Here is a 19,075-nt window from a genome sequence, read left to right as displayed (position 1 = left end):
GTCCACATTCAGCTTCCAGCAGTTCATCAATTATAGTTTAAGTTTTCCTAACAGAATCTGTGGTTTCTTCACCCAGTAAACTTACTCTTTGTATTTGCCTCTCTCTCCACTACTCATGGCTTGATTTGCCCTGTGACCTCAATTTTCTGATGGATTTAAGAAAAGTTGTTGGTTTTCAGTTCAGCATTTTTCTTGTTATGAGAATAGCAGTGACAACTTTCATGCTCTTTCACATATCAAAAATCAAACCAGAAGTCCCCACAGAACTGTTTTTAATTACTTATCAGCTTGTCTGTTTTTCCCACTTAACCATGAACTATTTGAGAGTAGGAACCACAGTCTTTTTATCTCAGGACCCAGGATAGGTATAAGGATTTTTCAGAGCTTAACCAATCTTTGTGTCTGCTCTTTATCACACACTCTCTCTCTAGGTTATTTTATGCATTTTTCTAGCTTTATGTGCCATACTAACCACTCTCAAAAATATATCTCTGGCCAGTCCATCTCTCTCCTTTAATGCTGGATAATTATAAGCATCTTAAATTTTAAAAGTTCAAAATGTAAGTTTTAGTTTATACCTCCAACCTGTTAATCTTCTCCTCTTCTTGATCATATTTAATAACATCACGACCCAATTAGTTCTTTCAACTAGAAACCCAGGAGTCATCTTTGGTTCTTTTCCCTTCTTCAACAACTTCTAAATCTTCTCCTCTGACAAATCATATCATTTCAATCTTCAAATATATTCTCAATTTACTTCTCTCCATCTTCACTGTATTCACTGTAATCAGTGTGGTCCAGGTTATCACTATCACTAGCAAAGTCCTCAAAAAAGGCCTCTTCCATTGCTCTCTCCATTTCTATTCTCACTCATGCTACTTATAGAGCAGTCAATATGTTCTTTATACATAAAGTAAATCATGTCACTCCCATGTTTAAATCTCTTCAATATCTTCCCTGTATACTGAGACTCAGATTCAAACTCCTTATCATTCTCTGTAAAACCACTGCCCTATCTGAGTCCTACCTCTGGAACCTCATCTCCTGCCACACTCCCTCTCATCTACTATACTACACCCATCTTGGTCTTCTTTGTGTCCCTTGCTACTTAAAGACTCTCACATATCATGTTCCCTATGCTTAAAACACTCTTCCCTTTAACATTTTGTTTCTATTAAAAGACCTCACAGCCAAAGAGGATTACTATATTAGGTGGTTATCTAATTCCAATAATTCAAATTTTAGATTTCTCTAGTATTTCAAAAGTACATTTATTAATCATAGCAAAACATAAATAAAACTAAAATATAAAATTCAAAGTAAAGTAATCCAATTGATTAGTTTAATGTATTTGCATTGGAAACTTTTTTTAATTACCTTTACCATTTTGCTATGTATTGCAGATACAAAGTTAAAATGACAGTTGCATTATAAGGCATTTATCATTTTTCCTAGTATTTCCATCTTTAATTATCCAGAGGCTTGTTTTATACCTTACATAAAACCTATGTTATGTGATATTCTCTTTGCAGAAAACTTTCCCTCATTTTAATGCTGATGCAAAAAATAGCAAAAGAAAAGAGAAAGTAATATTAAAATTATTTAATTTATATATTAAGCAGTTTCTACAAAGGGTGAATTAACTGGCAACTAAAACAAATGGCTCATTCAATTTTCTATGCCTCAAATCTCAGGAAAAGTCAAAGTTGAATATACAGTAGTCTACTTATATCTATAATTTCACATCAATTGCCAAAATCAAAATTAGTAAATCTTCCTATTATGCTAAAGAATATGAAATGAACAAACCTCAAAAATACAGACCTCAAGAAGCCTACATCATCATTAGATTTTTCAACAACCGCAAAATGGAATTTATATAAATGGATTAAAATGAACTAGTGTTTAGGAAACATAATAGATTTTTAATACTAGCTATCTGGTAGAATATTTCGTTATTCTACTATGAAAGTATTTGCACAAAATATGAAAAACTTACTTTTTAACATTTAAAACTTAAAATGAATACCTGGAATTCAGCTTCCAAAAATAATTTTATGGATGAATAATAGAAAGTAAGCAGATAGGAAGTTATCCCACTCACATAGTATTCATATTGAGAAAGAAATAAGATAAGCCAGAAAGAAGAAGCCTTATAAATCCGAATAGAGAGTAAGTGAATTAAAGGGCATTCAGAAGTAACCCTGGTCTGTGGTTCAGAAAGATAAAAGGAAGGCTTCTAGAAAATTACATACCAAAAATCTTCAATGTAACAAGAATGTAAGATGAAGAATGTAGCTATTAAGAGAATCTATTGATTCTGAATTTTTAAAACTACATAAATCACAGAGCAAGAATGAATTAGTTGTCAAAGAAATCTTAACTGAAATAATACCAATTAATCAAGAATTAATTTTTAAATCATCTAAAAGTGCTAATTTTTTCTACCATCTTCCTATACAAAAATCAAAGCAGATTGGATTATATTTATTATTAAAGTGATTTCTTTTGTGTTTATGCCAATCAAATGTCACTTTGTTACAATAATCTAAATATCATTTTTTAAAAGTTACTCACAAAATATGTCATTTTATTTAATGGCCATGGTAATTAATACATAATATGGCACAGTCTTGATTATTTTCAAAACCTCACACACAAGATACATTAACTGAAGTCATTTAAAACCAAGACAAAATTACATCTAATTATATTTTGTTATTGGTTTCTCCATTTTATTTTAAGCTTCAGTGCCATAGTGAAAAAGCAAAACAATGACATTGTGTGGCATTTTAATATAATGCTTGCTAGTTAGAAAAGCAATTGTTAAATTTAATTTTACTCCTTATGTCATAAAATTCCTGTATCATAAAAGGATAAAATATGAAAAATCAATTGTGAAGAAATATTTATTGAGTTCCTACTATGTATTAGGCATTCTGCTAAATGCCAAGAATAAAACAGTAGGCAAGACAAATACTGGCCCTACTTCAACGACCTTAAGTACAGGAGAAGTTCCAATTTGAGAACTACATATTAACTATTAGGAAGAGTACATATCATACTTTTACTTCAGTTGAAATGAAAACCCTGACAAAATATAACATAAAATGTATGCAAAGTAGCATAAAATGCATGAGATTATCCTCATCAATAGCAACAAGACATAAAAGATGTTTATCTTTTACTCTGCATTAAAGGCAAAATATGAATGTTTTTCTGAGTGTTTCATCATACTCGTCATTCTCATTCTCTCCTGGAGTCCATGTCACTTGTCAACTTGTCCATTCCTACAACCAAACCAGCTTCTCCAAAGTCATAATTCAAAAGGAAGCACAGAGGCTAAGTGGTTGGAGCACATCTGAATATTATGACAACTGTCAGGAGAATACTGGAATTTAAATATATGCAGTCTCTCTCACATCTTCAGCTACCTCAACTTCACAACATAAATAATATTGCTTGCACAAAATTAAAATGCTACAGAAGTGAACAACTTTTTAAACAGTGTTTTTAAATCTAATAACAAAAAAATGAAATCAATACTTCTTTAATGCTTCAGGTCAGTGTGAGAATATATTGCCACATTTCCCAAATTATGTTTCATAACCTAATGAAATGTTTAGTAAAAACAGGATTCAGTGGTCAAACAAATGTATTAAACAGTGTATGTTCTAATACCCTTGGAGCATATTTGGGTTCTCAGAATAATTATAATAAAGAAACTTGCTTAACCTTTTTTAAAACAACCTTTCCAAAACTATTTGACTAAAGATTGAATTTGGGGGTTAATATCTTTTAATGTCCTCTAGAACAATTTTTGAAAGAAACACACTCTAGTTATATATTGCATTGTTGGAAAAGGATGTTTTACTGAATAAGTATGGCTTACATTATTTATACTAAAATATAGCAGGGTGGGGGGAATTACCTCTTCTTTTTTACTACCCTATTAATTATCCTTGCCTTCTTTATAGATTTTCATTAAGGGTAACAGTATCAAACCCTAACCGAACAATTTTCCTTTCTGAGGGCATACTATTTCAAGGACAGTATTTTAACACATACTTTTCAGTATGTTATACTATCAGAGATAATATTTAGTCTATATAGATCAGCTTACTTACGTCTGGGGCTCCTTTTCATTTTGTTGTTTTTGCTGGGGCTGAAGAACGTTATTTACCAGTTCAGTGATTCCACTAAAGGGAAACCACCTGTTTAAATAAGCAAATAATGTGACTGAATAACCAAATGAATAACAATGTAGGTTAACGTTTTCTTATCCATAATAAAAATACACAGGCACAAAAGCTACAGCCAATGGTAATGTGAGCTCCAATTATCATCCAGGCAGTCAAAATGTAGGGAAATTAAATTTGAACACTTAACTAGTCCACAAGCAGGCAGCAAAAAACTACATCCAGTCACTATGTGGGTGATGTAAGAAGCTGCAAGCAGCTCTCTTACAAGCCAGAGAGTCAGAAAGCAGAAGACACACTAGCTGCAGCCTATCCAGTATTAGTGTAAGCTAATACCAGAAAGCAGTATGTGGCAAAAGTACAGAAGTCAAGCCTACTACACTCTTAATACATTTACTTACTGTGTCAGTTGTGGTTTGTGTTCTTCTTTGACCCTAAAAAGATAAGTTTGCACAACTGAGTGCACTGTACTATGAAGAGATTTCTATTTACAAATTTGTGTTCATATAAAATGGACACCAAAAATAAGAATTTTATATAGAAAGACTTAGTGCTTTGCCATATATTGAAATTATACATTTCAATCAATTTTACACAAAAAAGAGAAAATGAATCATTTGTCCTTAACAGAAAACTAATATTAAAATTCTACCTCTGTTTTAAAGCAATGATTTGGTCCTGAAGTTTTCTGAATATTTTTATTGATATTGAAGATTTTTAAGTAATTATTTTAACATACTATATTAAACACAATTACATTTAGTTAAGTGCAAATAGATTTCCTTTTTTTAATTTTTCCTTAATATTGAAGTAAAGGCATAAATATTTTAAATTAAACATAGAGTTTTACGAATGTATTTTTAAAAGTCTTACAAATGAATTTCTTTATGCCTAAAGGAGCAGAGAAAGGAATGGGAGGTGGGGGAGGGCAGGTATCCAAACTCTCTTAAAATAGCTATTAAAATAACTAGGTATATTAAATTAGAAATATTCATAAGTTAATTATGCAAACAACTATTCCAGACTGAAAATGAATTTAAATAAATAGTATAGAAATAACTATAATAATCAAGTCAGTGCTTTACTTCTAGTTCTGCTGAGTTCAATAAAGTCTTATCTAAAATAGCATATAGAAAAAACTACTTTCTAATTCTCTGAGATGAGAAGATATTTTTATATTACAAAAATCTAAAATTCACAGTCAGAAACTGATTTAGAAGTAGACAGTTGTGGAAAGCTAAGACAGCCAATTGAAAGCAGCTGCATTCCACAGCACTCAAGGAGAGGAATGAAAGGAGCAAGTCAGTTCAGCACCTTCAACTGAAATATCTGAGTTCTCACGTTGAAACTGACTAAGCAAACAACTTGACCCTCAGAGAACAAAGAGAAGCAGGGTAGGGCGATAGCCCACCTGGGAGCAGCACGGAGCAAAGGGAAGCTGTCAGTGATTGTGTGACCTGCCCAGGAAACCACGTTTCTCCCACAGATCCTTGCAACCCATGGATCAGGAGATATCCTCGTGAACCCACATCACCAGGGTCCTGGGTCCAATACACTGAGCTATGTGAGGTTTCGGCAGAGCGGCTGCTTAGACACACACAGAGACCCAGGAGTTTTGCATACTTTGGCCCCGGAATCTGCATCAAGGCAGGAGATCCATCTGTGAATACCCCTAGGAAGGGGACTGAGTCCAGGGAGCAAAGTGGCATCATTCTGTGGGCCCCACTTACATGGTGCCTCACAAGTTGGGACCCACTGGCTTGGAATTCCAGCCAGCTGGTAGTAGCAGGCTGGAGTCTGCCTGAGTCAGGACTGAGTTCCCAGGGGGATGGGTGACCACCATCTCTGTGGTTCAGTAGACTCAGTCATTTCAGCCTGCCAACTTTGAAGAATACAGGCAGTTTGGATGAGGAGGGGTCCCCCACAGAGCAGCATAGCTGCCTTGACAGATCATGGCCAGACTGCTTCTTTAAGTGGAACCCAATTCATTCCTCCTCACTTGGCAAGACCTCCCTGTGAGGGCTTCACCCACTCCAGCAAGGATTCTCCGGACAGAGCTTTGATCTTTCTCAGGGATGAAGCTCCCAGGGGTTCTCTATCTCTGCAGTTCAGTAGACTCAGCCATTCCAGCTTTGGAGAATACGAACAGTCCAGACAAAGAAGAGACCCCTGAATGCAGCACACCTGCTCTACCAAAGGGCCACCTGATTGCTTCTTTAGGCAGATCCCTGATCCTGTTCCTCCTGACTGGGTGAGACCTCCCAGCAGGAGTCTCCAGTCACCTCCTACAGGCATATTTGGGCCAGCAACAGGTCAGTGCCCCACTGAAAAAAAGCTTCCAGAAAAAGGGGAAGGCTGCCATCTTCGCTGGTTCACAGCTTTCACTGGTGATAACTCTGGGAAGGAGAAAAACGAAGGCAACTAGGGTCTGAAGGGGACCCTTGCAAACCACAGCAGCCCCACAAAACAGTGCCATCACTATTAAAAGAAAAACAAACAGAAAACAACAACAACGTCAATAAAAAAGACCCCATAAAAACCCAAATCAAAGGTCACCAACCCCAAAGACCAAAGGTAGGTAAGCCCATAAAGCTAAGAAAGAATCAACACAAAAACGCTAAAAACTCAAAAAGCCAGAACAGCTCTTCTCCTTCAAATGACCACAACACCTGTCCAGTAAGGGCACAAACTGGGCTGAGGCTGAGATGGCTGAAGTGACAAAAGTAGGCTTCAGAAGGTGGGTAATAACAAACTTTGCTGAGATAAAGGAGCATGTGGTAACCCAATGGCAAAGAAGCTAAGACTCATGATAAAACAATACAGGAGCTGATAGCCAGAATAGCCAGTTTAGAGAGGAATATAACCAACCTGATGGAGCTGAAAAACACAACATGAGAACTATAGACCAAGCAGAGAAAAGAATCTCAGAGCTTGAAGACTGTCTTTCTGACGTAAGACAGGCATACAAGAACAGAAAGAAAAAAAAAAAAGAATGAAAAGGCATGAACAAAACCTCCAAAAAATATGAAATTATTTAAAAAGACAGAACCTAAGACTCATTAGGGTACCTGAAAGAGATGGGGAGAATGGAACCAAGTTGCAAAACATACTTAAGTATATCATCCAGGAGAACTTCCCCAACAGAGAAAGACAGGCCAACATTCAAATCCAGGAAATATAGAGAACCCCAGTAAGATACTCCATTAGAAGATCAACCCCAAGACACATAATAATCAGATTCTGAAATATACAAATGAAAGAAAAAAATGTTAAAGGCAGTCAGATAGAAAGGCCAGGTCACCTACAAAATGCAGCCCATCAGACTAACAGGGGACCTCTCAGCAAAAACCCTAAAAGCCAGAAGAGATTAGGGGCCAATATTCAATGTTCTTAAAGAAAAGAAATTCCAACCCAGAACTGCATATTCGCCCAAACTAAACATCATAAGTGAAGGAGAAAAAGGATCCTTTTCAGACAATCAAATGCTTAGGGAATTTCCACCACCATGCCTGCCTTGCAAGAGCTCCTGAACAAAGCACTAAATATGGAAAAGAAAAACAATTACTACCCACTACAAAAACACACTGAAGTACACAGATCAGTGACATTATGAAGCAACCACATAAACAAGTATGCGAAATAACCAGCTAGCATCATGATGACAGAATCAAATTCACAAATAACAATACTAACCTTAAATATAAATGGGCTAAATGCCCCAATTAAAAGACACAAAATTGCAAGCTGGATAAAAAGCCAAGACCCACTGGTATGCTGTCTTCAAGAGACCCATCTCACATGCAAAGACACACATAGGCCCAAAATAAAAGGATGGAGGAAAATTTACCAAACAAATTTAAAACAGAAAACACAGGGGTTGCAATTCCAGTATTTCTGACAAAACAGACTTTAAACCAACAAAGATCAAAAAAGACAATGAAAGTTATTATGGAATGATAAAGGGTTCAATTCAACAAGAAGAGCTAATTCTCCTAAATATATATGCACCTAATACAGGAGCACTCAGATTCATAAAGCAAGTTCTTAGAGACAAAACGACTTAAAATTCCCAAACAATAATAGTGGGAGACTTTAACACCCCACTGTCAATATGAGACAGATCATCGAGACAGAAAACTACCAAGGATATTCAGGACCTGAACTCAGCTCTGAATCAAATGGACCTGATAGATACCTACAGAACTCCACCAAGGAAAGAACAGAATATACATTCTTCTCATCACCACATGGCACTTAATTTTATCTAACTAAAATTTTATTGACTAAAATTTATCACATAATCTGAAGTAAAACACTCCTCAGCAAATATAAAAGAACTGAAATAATAACAAACATTCTCTCAGACTACAGCACAATCAAATTAGAACTCAAGATTAAGAAAATCACTGAAGAACACACAACTACATTGAAATTGAACAACCTGCTCCTGAATGACTCCTGTGTAAATAATGAAATTAAGGGAAAAATAAGAAAGTTCTTTGAAACTAATGAGAACAAAGAGACAATGTACCCAAAGCTCTGGGACGCAGCTAAAGCAGTGTTAGGGGGGAAATTTATAGCATTAAATGCCCACATCAAAAAGCTAGAAAGATCTCAAAAACCTAACATCACACCTAAAACAACTGGCAAACCAAGAGCAAGCCCCACAGCTAACAGAAGACAAGAAGTAACCAAGATCAAAACTGAACTGAAGGTGATACAAAAATTAAAAAAAAAAAAAATCAAAAAAAAATCAATGAACCCAGCAGCTGGTTTTTGGAAAAAAAATTAATATAATATACCACTAGGTAAGACTAATAAAAAAGAAAAGAAAGAAGAATCAAATAAACACAATCAGAAATAAGAAGAATATCACCACTGACCCCACAGAAATATAAACGACCATCAGAGAATACTATAAACACCTCTATGCACATAAACTAGAAAATATATAAGAAACAAATAATATCTGGACACATACACCTACCCAAGGCTGAACCAGGAAGAAACTGAATCTGTTAATAGGCCAATAATAAGTTCTGAAATTCAGGCAGTAATAGATAGCCTACCAACCCAAAAAAGCCCAGGACGAGATGGATTCACAACTGAATTCTACCAGAGGTACAAATAAAAGCTGGTACCATTCTACTGAAACTATTCCAAAAAATTAAAAAGGAGGGTCTCCCCTCTAACTCATTCTATGAGGTCAACATCATACTGATACCAAAACCTGGCACAGATACAACAACACAAAAAACCTCAGGCCAATGTCCTTGATGAACATCAATGCAAAAATATCACATTGATACCAAAACCTGGCACAGATACAACAACAACAAAAAACTTCAGGCAATGTCCTTGATGAACACTGATGCAAAAACTGTCAAACATAAATGCAATATACTGGCAAACCGAATCCAGCAGCACATAAAAAAGCATATCCACCATGATAAAGTAGGTTTCATTCCCACAATAAAAGGTTGGTTCAATGTACAAAAATAAATAAATGTAACTCTTCACATAAACAGGACTGAAGACAAAAAATGCATAATTTGTCTCATTAGATGCAGAACAGGCCTTCAATAAAATTCAAAATCCCTTCATGTTAAAAATTCTCAACTAGGCATGGAAAAAACATACCTCAAAATAATAAGAGCCATACATGAAAAAGCCATAGCCAGTATCATACTGAATGGGCAAAAGCTGGAAACATTCTTCTTGAAAATGAGCACAAGACAAGGATGCTTTCTCCTACCACTCCTACTCAACATAGTATTGGAAGTTCTGGCCAGGGCAGTCAGGCAAGAGAAAAAAATAAATGCTATTCAAATAGGAAGAGAGGAAGTCAAATTATCTCTGTTTGCAGATGACATGATCCTATATCTAGAAAACCCCATTGTCTCAGCCCAAGATCATGTCCTTTGCAGGGACATGGATAAAGCTGAAAGGCATTATCCTCAGCAAACTAACACAGGAAGAGAAAACTAAATACCATATGTTCTCACTTATAAGTTGGAGCTGAATGATGAGAACACATGGACACATGGACACATGGGGGAAACAACAAACACTGAGGCCTGTCGGAACTGGGTGCGGAGAGAGGTAGAACATCAGGAGGAACAGCTAACAGATGCTGGGCTTAATACATAGGTTGTGGGATGATGTGTGCAGCAAAACACCATGGCACACATTTGCCTATGTAAGAAACCTGAACATCTGGCACATGTACCCCTGAACTTAAAATAAAAGTTGAAGAAAAAAAAGGAGACAGTTAATTCATGATGCATATGATACGAAAAATTAGGTACACCTAACTAAAAAAAAACTTCTACCTCACGTGGCACACATTTAGTGAGTCATTCTTGGGATTAATTCTCAGGCCTCTGAGCCCAAGTTAAGCCATCATATCCCCTGTGGCCTGCTCCTACACATCCAGATGGCCAGTTCCTGCCTTAACTGATGACATTCCACCACAAAAGAAGTGAAAATGTCCTGTTCCTGCCTTAACTGATGACATTATCTTGTGAAATTCCTTCTCCTGGCTCATCCTGGCTCAAAAGCTCCCCTGCTGAGCACTTTGTGAACCCCACAACTGCCCACCAGAGAACAACCCCCCTTTGACTGTAATTTTCCTTTACCTACCCAAATCTTATAAAACAGCCCCACCCGTATCTCCCTTCACTGACTCTCTTTTCAGACTCAGCCCACCTGCACCCAGGTGAAATAAACAGCTTTATTGCTCACAGAAAGCCTGTTTGGTGGTCTCTTCACATGGACGTGTATGAAATTAATATTATTCATTTTTTTAATATTCCTTTATTAAAATTAAATTATTCCTTCTACAGACCTATTAGTGTGTACTGGTTTCACAATATTCGGGAAATTAAGGGAGACTGGCCCAATATAGATCACTGAGTATCAAAATGAAATAAGACTGGATATTTATAAGGCAGAGAAAAATCATGCACAAGGATAATAAAGGCCTCTGAAATTTGGTTTCTCACAATTTCCTAGAACTTATCCTAAGAGGTAAACTTATGACTATGTGATCAGTTTATTAGTTTTTACCCTCTCAGAGGGAAACTAAGAATTAGTCATGAAAACTGGTCAGCAAAATCCTAGACTTTCATTACAAGGCTATACCTAACACTGTAAATTAAATTCTCTTTAGATCAAATTGATTCACTTTTACACTGTGTTCATTTTTTAATGATATAGTAATAAATGAAAGCCATATTCTTAGACATATTTGTGTCACAATAACAAATATAATTGGTATCTATTTCTATATTAACAATAAAATTATATCCTGTATTCTCTTTATAAAATTCAGAGTGTAATATCTTATTTGCAAGAATGAAAGTCACATCATTTAGTATTTAAATACAGTCACAAAATGGATTTAATATTTAAAAGATTATTTTAACACCAAATGTCATATAAACATTCAAACACAAGCAAACTATAGTGACACTGAATTCTATTTAGAAAACTTGTATTTCTTTGAGAAAAAGATAAAAATCTCTTTTTAGAACAAAACATTCACAAATAGATAAAAAGATAATGGCAAAGAAAGATTACCATATGAGCTCATTAAAATGAAGAACAATTAAAATGACCCTTCACCAAATAATAGTATGCTAAAAACAAGAAATACTGAAATAAATATGTAAATGGGCTCATTTACTTGTTAAAGAACTCCTGGGTGAGAATCTGCAAGAAATCATGTTGCTCTTAATCAGTGACAAGTTTTTATCATAAACATGTTGATATTAATCTAAAAATCAGTTTCCAATTTCAAAATCTTTACTAGAAAACATAGGCATAAAAATCTAAATTATTAAAACTGGGTTTTGTAAAAACATCTATATATGAAATGTATAACATTTGCATCATCCTCCCAAACAAAATATGTATAAATATTTAAAATATTTACATTTTATATTTATGTTTTAAATAAATATTTAAAATGTCTTTAAATACAATTAAAAGTATAAAATTATTCTTCTCCTTTTGCCAATATTTTAGATAAAATCACATTACAAAGTATCTCACCAAAATTAAAATGTTGAGATAATGAATTAAAAATTGGTAATATGAGAAACTAATTACATCACCTATTTCTCTGACAATATGCTAACATTATTAACAGTGAACTCCTACATTCGTCCATTCCAAGAAGCTGATGAGATTCTAGTTTCCAATCTGACATATAAAGATCTTGGAAATTATCACTCCCATCCTCAAAATGAGAAAAAAAGCTGAACTGAAAATCAACAACTCTTGTTAGCGTCATCAAGAAATTAATGTGACCTCACAAACTGCTGCCACAAAAACTAAACAAACAGACAAATACAAAGTTGCACAGCTTACCAGAACCAAATGTCCAGGAGCAGAGGTCTGCAGGTGGAACCAGTATATCCACAAACACTTTATAATTAATTGCCAGAGGCTCAGGGTAGACTACTTCTAAGTTTCAAATTCCAAATCTTAGTTTCTCAGTCTTACGGGTGCCAACACACTTGCATAAGTATTATCTCTAGAAGCTCCACCGGGTTCTCTCGGTGAAAATCAGAGAAAAATCCTCTCCTGTATCTAATAGGGGGAGAAGGAAAGTAACCATTTTGAAATGCACTTGAAGCTCTGTATTTTAACAAGGTCTTCTCTCAAGGGAAACTATTTTATAAAGATGGTGTTTTGCCAAAGCTTAACGGGCCTGAGGAAGGTAAATACCCAATTTCATCCTCCTCTAGCCTTCAATGTAGAAAATGGAAAATACCAAATTCCAGTCCTCTCTAGCCTTCAATGTAGGGAAAGGAAACTCAACTCAAGCTCATTGACAGACTGAGGCCTAATGACAGAACTATCAGATGCCTCTCCTCCCTCTACACTTACCACCAAATCAGTAGAGTTCTTATATAATAACAGGTGAAACAACTAAAACAACTGCAATCCTCAGAAACTATTTAGTAAGGAGTCAGTACAGAAAAACAAAACAGCAAAAAATAAAAAAAGATAAACACAAGGACAATAGAAAAATTTTAGCCTCTGACACCACAGCTACAATAAACAGTAAACACAGTCTAACTCTTCTCCAGATAAACATAAAATGTCATACTTAAGACCTAACTACCTAAGCTCCTTTTACTGAATAACCCTTCTCCAGCTTTCAATAACAAATTACAAGGCATTCTAAGTGGCAAGAAAAAAGTCTGAAGAGACAAAGAAAGCATAAATCAAATATGGCAGAAAATTTGGAATTGCTAGACTGAGAAAAATAGCTGTGGTTAATATACTAAGAGTTCCAATGTAAAACGTAGACAACATGCAAGAATACACCGGTACTATGAGCAAAGAGAGGGAAACTCTACGAGTGAATCAAAAAGGAAATGCTAAAAATAAAAAATAATATAAAAGAAATAAAGAATGCCTTTGACAGACTCATCAACAGAGCAGTAGACTTGGCCAAAAAAACAATCAATGAGCTTGAAAATATGTCAATAAAAACTTCTAAAACTGAAAAACAAAAACACAAAAGAGTGAAAAAGATGGAACAGCATATTCAAAAACTGAGGGACAATTATAAAAACTATAAAGTATGTGTAATGGGAATAGCAGATGGAGAAGAAAGGAACAAAGGAAATATTTTAAGTAATAACAACTGAAAATTTTCTAAAATTAATGACAAACACCAAACCATGAATCCAGGAAGCTCAGAGAACACCAAACAGGATGAATATCAAAAAATGTTTCAAATAAGAATATACTATTCAAACTGCAGAAAATGAAAGACAAAGATGACATTTTGAAAGAAAAAAAGCAAACACCTTATCTACAGAGAAACAGTATAAGAATTACATCAGACTTCTGTTCATAAAAAAAAGAAAAAGGTAGAATGAAATATCTAAAGTGTTGAATAAAGAAACCAACCAACCTATAGGTCTACACTCAGTCAAATTATCCTTCAAAAGTGAAAGAGAAAGAAATATTTTCTCAAACAAACAAAAATTATAAAAATTTGTCAACAGATCTGCCTTGCAAGGAATATTAAAAAGAAGTTTTTCATTTCCTTCAGAGACAAGAAAATTACATAGGTCAGAAATTCTGATGTACATTTAATAAAAGGAATAGCATTAGGGAAGGAAAAAATAAGGATAAAATAAAACCTTTTATTTTTCTTATTCTTAATCTATCAGTTTCTCAAATGTGGAACTGTAGCAATACTGTATTCTGTGATATTTTATGGATAAGTGAAATAAATTACAGTGATGTTATAAGGTACAGAAGAAAGGAATTGTGAATAATCTGTTACCAGGTTTACATCATTTGTGAAGTTGTACAGTGAGATTTTGAAATGGACTTGGATTCATTGTAAATAAACACTTCAATCTCTTAAGCAACCACCAAAATAAAATTTTAAAAGGAAGTACAATTGATATGCTAAGAGAGAAAATAGAATTGTATAAAATGCTAAAATAAAGCAAAAGAAGAGAGAGAAAAATTAGAAGATAAAATAAGAAATAAAACAAGTACAATAAATGCAACACAGTTACAAACACAGTAACCATGAATTCAACTAAAAATAGTCACCTTAAACGTGAATGGTCTAAATATGCCAATTAAAAAGCAGAGAATATCAGAATGGATGAAAACAAAAAGACACAATGTCTTAGTCCATTTGTGTTGCTATAAAGGAATACATTAGGCTGGGTAATTTATAAAGAACAAACGTTTATTTGGCTTATAGTTCTGCAGACTTTCTAAAAAGCATGGCAACAGCATCTGCATCAGATGAGGGCCTCAAGTTGCTTCCACTCATGGTGGAAGATGAAGGGGTGCCATGCAGAGATCACATGGAAAGAGAGGACACAAGAAAAAGGGGAGGAGATGCCAGGCTCTTTTTAACAACCAACACTCATGAGAACGAACAAGATGAGAATTCACTTACCCTCCACCCCCAAGAATGGCATTAATCTACTTATGAGGGATACACCTCCATGACCTAAACACCTCACATTAGGCTCTACTTCCCAACACTACCATACTAGGGACCAAGTTTTCACATGCAATTTGGTAGGGACAAACAAACAATACCCAAGCTATAGCATCACGAGATTGGGGAATTAAGAGAGGTTGGTTGATAGGTACATACATACAGTTAGACAAGAAATATGACCTAGTGTTTGATAGATCAGTACAGTAATAATAGTTTACAATAATCTATTGTATATTTCAAAATAGAAAAGAATAACTCAAATGTTTCTCACATAAAGAAAAGACAAATATTTAAGGTGATGAGCATCCCAATGACACTGATTTAATCTTACAAAATATATTAATGTATTAAATCATTACATACACCTCTAAAATTTGTATATCTATTATGTATCAATAAGAAATTGAATAAATAAATAACACCAAGCAATGTATTGTCTCTACAAGAAACCTGTTTTAAATATAAACAAAAGCTAGAGTATCCACATTAATTTCAAACAAAGCCAACTTTAGAGCAAGGAAAATTATCAGAGAAAAATCAAAGTATTTCATAATAATAAAAGGATGAATTCCTCCAAGAAAACATAACAATCCTTAATGTGTGTGTGCATAACAACAAAGTGTCAAAATACAGGAGGCAAAAATTGATACATCTGCAACCATTAAGAGATTAATCCACTGTTACAGATGCTCTTTACACAGCTATCAATAATTGACATATACAGTTGGCAGAAAATCAGTGAAGATGTAGTTGAAATGAACAGCATAAATAAAATTGATCTAATGAACATTTTATAATGCTTCATCCAACAACAGCATAATACACATTCTTCTCAAGCACCCAGGGAACATACACCAAGACAGACCACATTCTAGGCCATGAAACACCCTTTAATAAATTTAAAAGAATACAAATCATTCAAAATATGCTCTGAGTTCACAGAGGAACTAAATTATAAATTAACAGCACAACTATAGTGAAAAATCTCAAAATATCTGGAAATTAAACCATATGCTTCTAAAAATATGTGAGTCAAGTCTCAAAATAGATTAAAAATATGCTTAACTAAATGAAAGTGAAAATACAACCTATCAAAACTTGTGAGATGCAGCTAAACCAGTGCTTAGATGAAAATTTCTAGCATTTTAATGCATATATTGTAAGACATATCTACAATTAATAAAGCTTCTACCTTAGTAAACTAGAAAAAGAAAATAAAATCTAAGCAGAGAAAAATAAATAATAAAAGTTAAAAATCAATGAACTTGAAAACCGGGCATCAATAGACAAAATCAACAATACCAAAAGCCACCTCTTTGAAAAGACCAATAAATTGATAAATTCCTAGCTAGGCTAATCAAGGAAAAAAGAAAAGACACAAATTACTAATATAAAAAATGAAAGACAGTCCATCACTTCTGATCACATGACATTAAAAAGATTTAAAAAATAGTAAGAACAACTATCCCAAATTTGATAATTTTGATGAAATGGACCATTTCCTTGAAAGAAACAATGTACCAATGCTTACAAAAGGAGAGGTCTATGTCTATTTTAAAAATTGAATCATACATAAACCAAACAAATACATACCAAATCTATAAAAGGAAAACTACAAAACTCTGACGAAATAAATATAAGAAAATTTAAATAAATACGGAAGTATGTCATGTTCATGAATAGAAAGACTCAACATTTTTTAAGATGTCAGTTCTTATGATTTGATCTATAGAAACATGGCAATCCCAACCAAAATCTCATCAAGTTATTTTGTGCATATCAACAATGACTCAAAGTTTATATTAAAAGGCAAAAGACCTAGCAATCCCACTTTCTAGGTATGTAGTCAAATAGAATGAAAACTTATGTTCACACAAAAACCTATACATCAATGTTTCTAGCAGTTTTATTCATAATCTCAGAAAACTGAAAATAACCAAGATGTTAAGAGGTGAATGAATAAACAAACTATGGTTAAATCCATACAAGAGAATACTACTCAGCAATAAAAAGAAATAAACTACTGATATGAACAGCATGACTAAATATCAAATGTATTTTGCTAAGAGGAAGAATTGAGAACTAAAAAGCTACATAAGGTTTGATTCAATTTATATGACATTCTGGGAAAGGCAAAACTATAGATAAAGAAAACAGAGTAGTGGCTAACTGGTCAATGAAAGAGGGAAGTATTAACTACAAAAGTCACACAAGGAAATTTTTAGAGTGTTGAAACTATTCTATAGTGTTGCTGGATAATTACATGTTTGTCAAAACCCATGGAATTATGCATCACAAACATTAAATGTTAATGTTTGCAAACTTTTTTTTTAAATCCCTGGAAGGAATACAAAGTGTGACAAATTGATCAAATTGTATTTAAAAGGTACAATATAACCTAGTTAGTTACAAGAGAGTCAGGAATAAAGGAGGTGTCCTAAAGAACATTAGGAAAGGATATTTTAACTAGATAACTGTAATACCAAAGACAAAAAATAACAATACATAAGCATTGTACTCTGGTAAGTTTGTTTCCATACTATACAAGTTAGCATTTGTGAAACTATTCTACATTTATACTGGGGTTGAACATGAGCAAGTAACTGCCACAGAATACAAATAAACAAAGAGAGGAGGCTAGAATGAACCCTGCCAGCAGTGCTAAATTTAGAGACAGACATATCAGTACAAAATCACGCAAATTTACATATTTTAAAGATAGATGATAGATGAATAAATAAATAGAGGTCGAGAAATAAATATAGATATGTGTGTCTACACAAGTTTATATATACAAGTATTTCCTCATTTTGTTTGCTGAGAGAGCCTAGAAACAGTGACATCCCAATTGCAGTGAGCCCATCTGGTACAAAGATCTTTGTTTCTAAATACCATCCTCCAATCAAAGATATTTTGAGAAATGGCTAATTTTCCAGGTAGACAGAAAAAAATACAAAGTTAACCTAGATTATCTTGTAATGCCAGAAAATGAGAAATTGTTCAAAAACATAAAAACATGGAGTATGTCAAAAGACACAAAATCAACCTGAAAGAGTTCCCAATGGCCAAAGCTGGAACTATTTGAGGACGAACAAAAACCCCATATGGATTATAATGCTCCCTCAAGAAATAAATATCCATTAATCCATACTGATATAGATAAATAAATAAATAATTAGAGAAGACGGCGCATATTTCCCTTACAGAAGAGTGCCAAATAAGAAACATGAAAGGTATGAAGAAAATAGAAAGTCATCATTAGAGCATCACAGTAGTAACTGTTGCAGGTAAGATCCACTGATATATGCTAACATTAGAAATCAAAGCTTAAAGGAGAAGCAATATTTGCATAGCCTCAAGTATCTCCTGTGAAATATTTATTAATTACTGTGGTTTTGATGTCTAAAAATTATTTTATACCCTTTCTTCAAGTGGTGGAGCTTAATTCCTCTCCCCTCAAATAGGGACTGAAATTAGTGACCCACTTGCAACCAATAGAAAATAAAAAAGAAACAATTATAACTTTACAGTGGAGAAAGCTGAGAGACACAACTCTAACTATACGATCAAAATTAACCCCCTGATATGATGTGATACCACTGTGGTATTCTTCCAATAACTTCAAAACCCCAGTTGAATCAGGGGAAAAATCAAAACAAACCCAAACTGAGGAACGTCTACAAAAATTGAAATTAGGGAACACTCTTTTTCTGTTTTCACAACTTTCACCAGTATTCTTCACAAGTATCAAAATCATGAAAACAAGGAAAGAGTGAGAAACTGTCACAAATTGGAAGAGACTAAGGAGACATGAAATTAAATGCACTTATCCTAGATTGAATCCTGGAAAAGAAAGTCAGTAAAATATATGGTAAGATTT

At 33.9% G+C, this 19,075-nt stretch overlaps 1 protein-coding gene across 47 annotated transcripts in view, besides 2 other annotated features; it reads right to left on the bottom strand.

Annotated features, from left to right (window-relative positions):
- RIMS2 (regulating synaptic membrane exocytosis 2) overlaps positions 1 to 19,075 on the bottom strand; it is a 755,485-nt gene that overhangs the window by 599,257 nt on the left and 137,153 nt on the right. For 18 of the 47 annotated variants that reach the window (NR_145710.2, XM_017014015.3, XM_017014010.3 and 15 more), the window contains exons 2-3: positions 4,601 to 4,633; positions 4,128 to 4,214 (exon numbers count right to left, since the gene is read on the bottom strand). The exons of the other annotated variants lie outside the window; for them this stretch is intronic. Coding sequence is in view for 17 of the 18 variants with exons in the window: in XM_017014015.3 (XP_016869504.1) it covers positions 4,128 to 4,214; positions 4,601 to 4,633 (120 nt within the window). In the remaining variant the exon portion in view is untranslated. The remainder of the gene's footprint in view (positions 1 to 4,127; positions 4,215 to 4,600; positions 4,634 to 19,075) is intronic. 47 annotated transcript variants of the gene reach the window in all.
- Positions 5,232 to 5,997: an enhancer, noted in NCBI's record as "OCT4-NANOG-H3K27ac-H3K4me1 hESC enhancer chr8:104663069-104663834 (GRCh37/hg19 assembly coordinates)". NCBI's record gives its function as "activates a minimal SCP1, AML or CMV promoter by ChIP-STARR-seq in primed H9 embryonic stem cells {active_cell/tissue: H9 hESC(primed)}" and the evidence as "EXISTENCE:reporter gene assay evidence [ECO:0000049][PMID:30033119]".
- Positions 10,352 to 10,948: an enhancer, noted in NCBI's record as "OCT4-NANOG-H3K27ac hESC enhancer chr8:104658118-104658714 (GRCh37/hg19 assembly coordinates)". NCBI's record gives its function as "activates a minimal SCP1, AML or CMV promoter by ChIP-STARR-seq in primed H9 embryonic stem cells {active_cell/tissue: H9 hESC(primed)}" and the evidence as "EXISTENCE:reporter gene assay evidence [ECO:0000049][PMID:30033119]".

Source organism: Homo sapiens, chromosome 8 (genome assembly GCF_000001405.40).
Source record: "Homo sapiens chromosome 8, GRCh38.p14 Primary Assembly".
Lineage (NCBI taxonomy): Eukaryota > Metazoa > Chordata > Mammalia > Primates > Hominidae > Homo > Homo sapiens.
The sequence above is the reverse complement of the archived record's forward strand: the minus strand, read 5'-3'. Positions and strand labels throughout refer to the sequence as shown.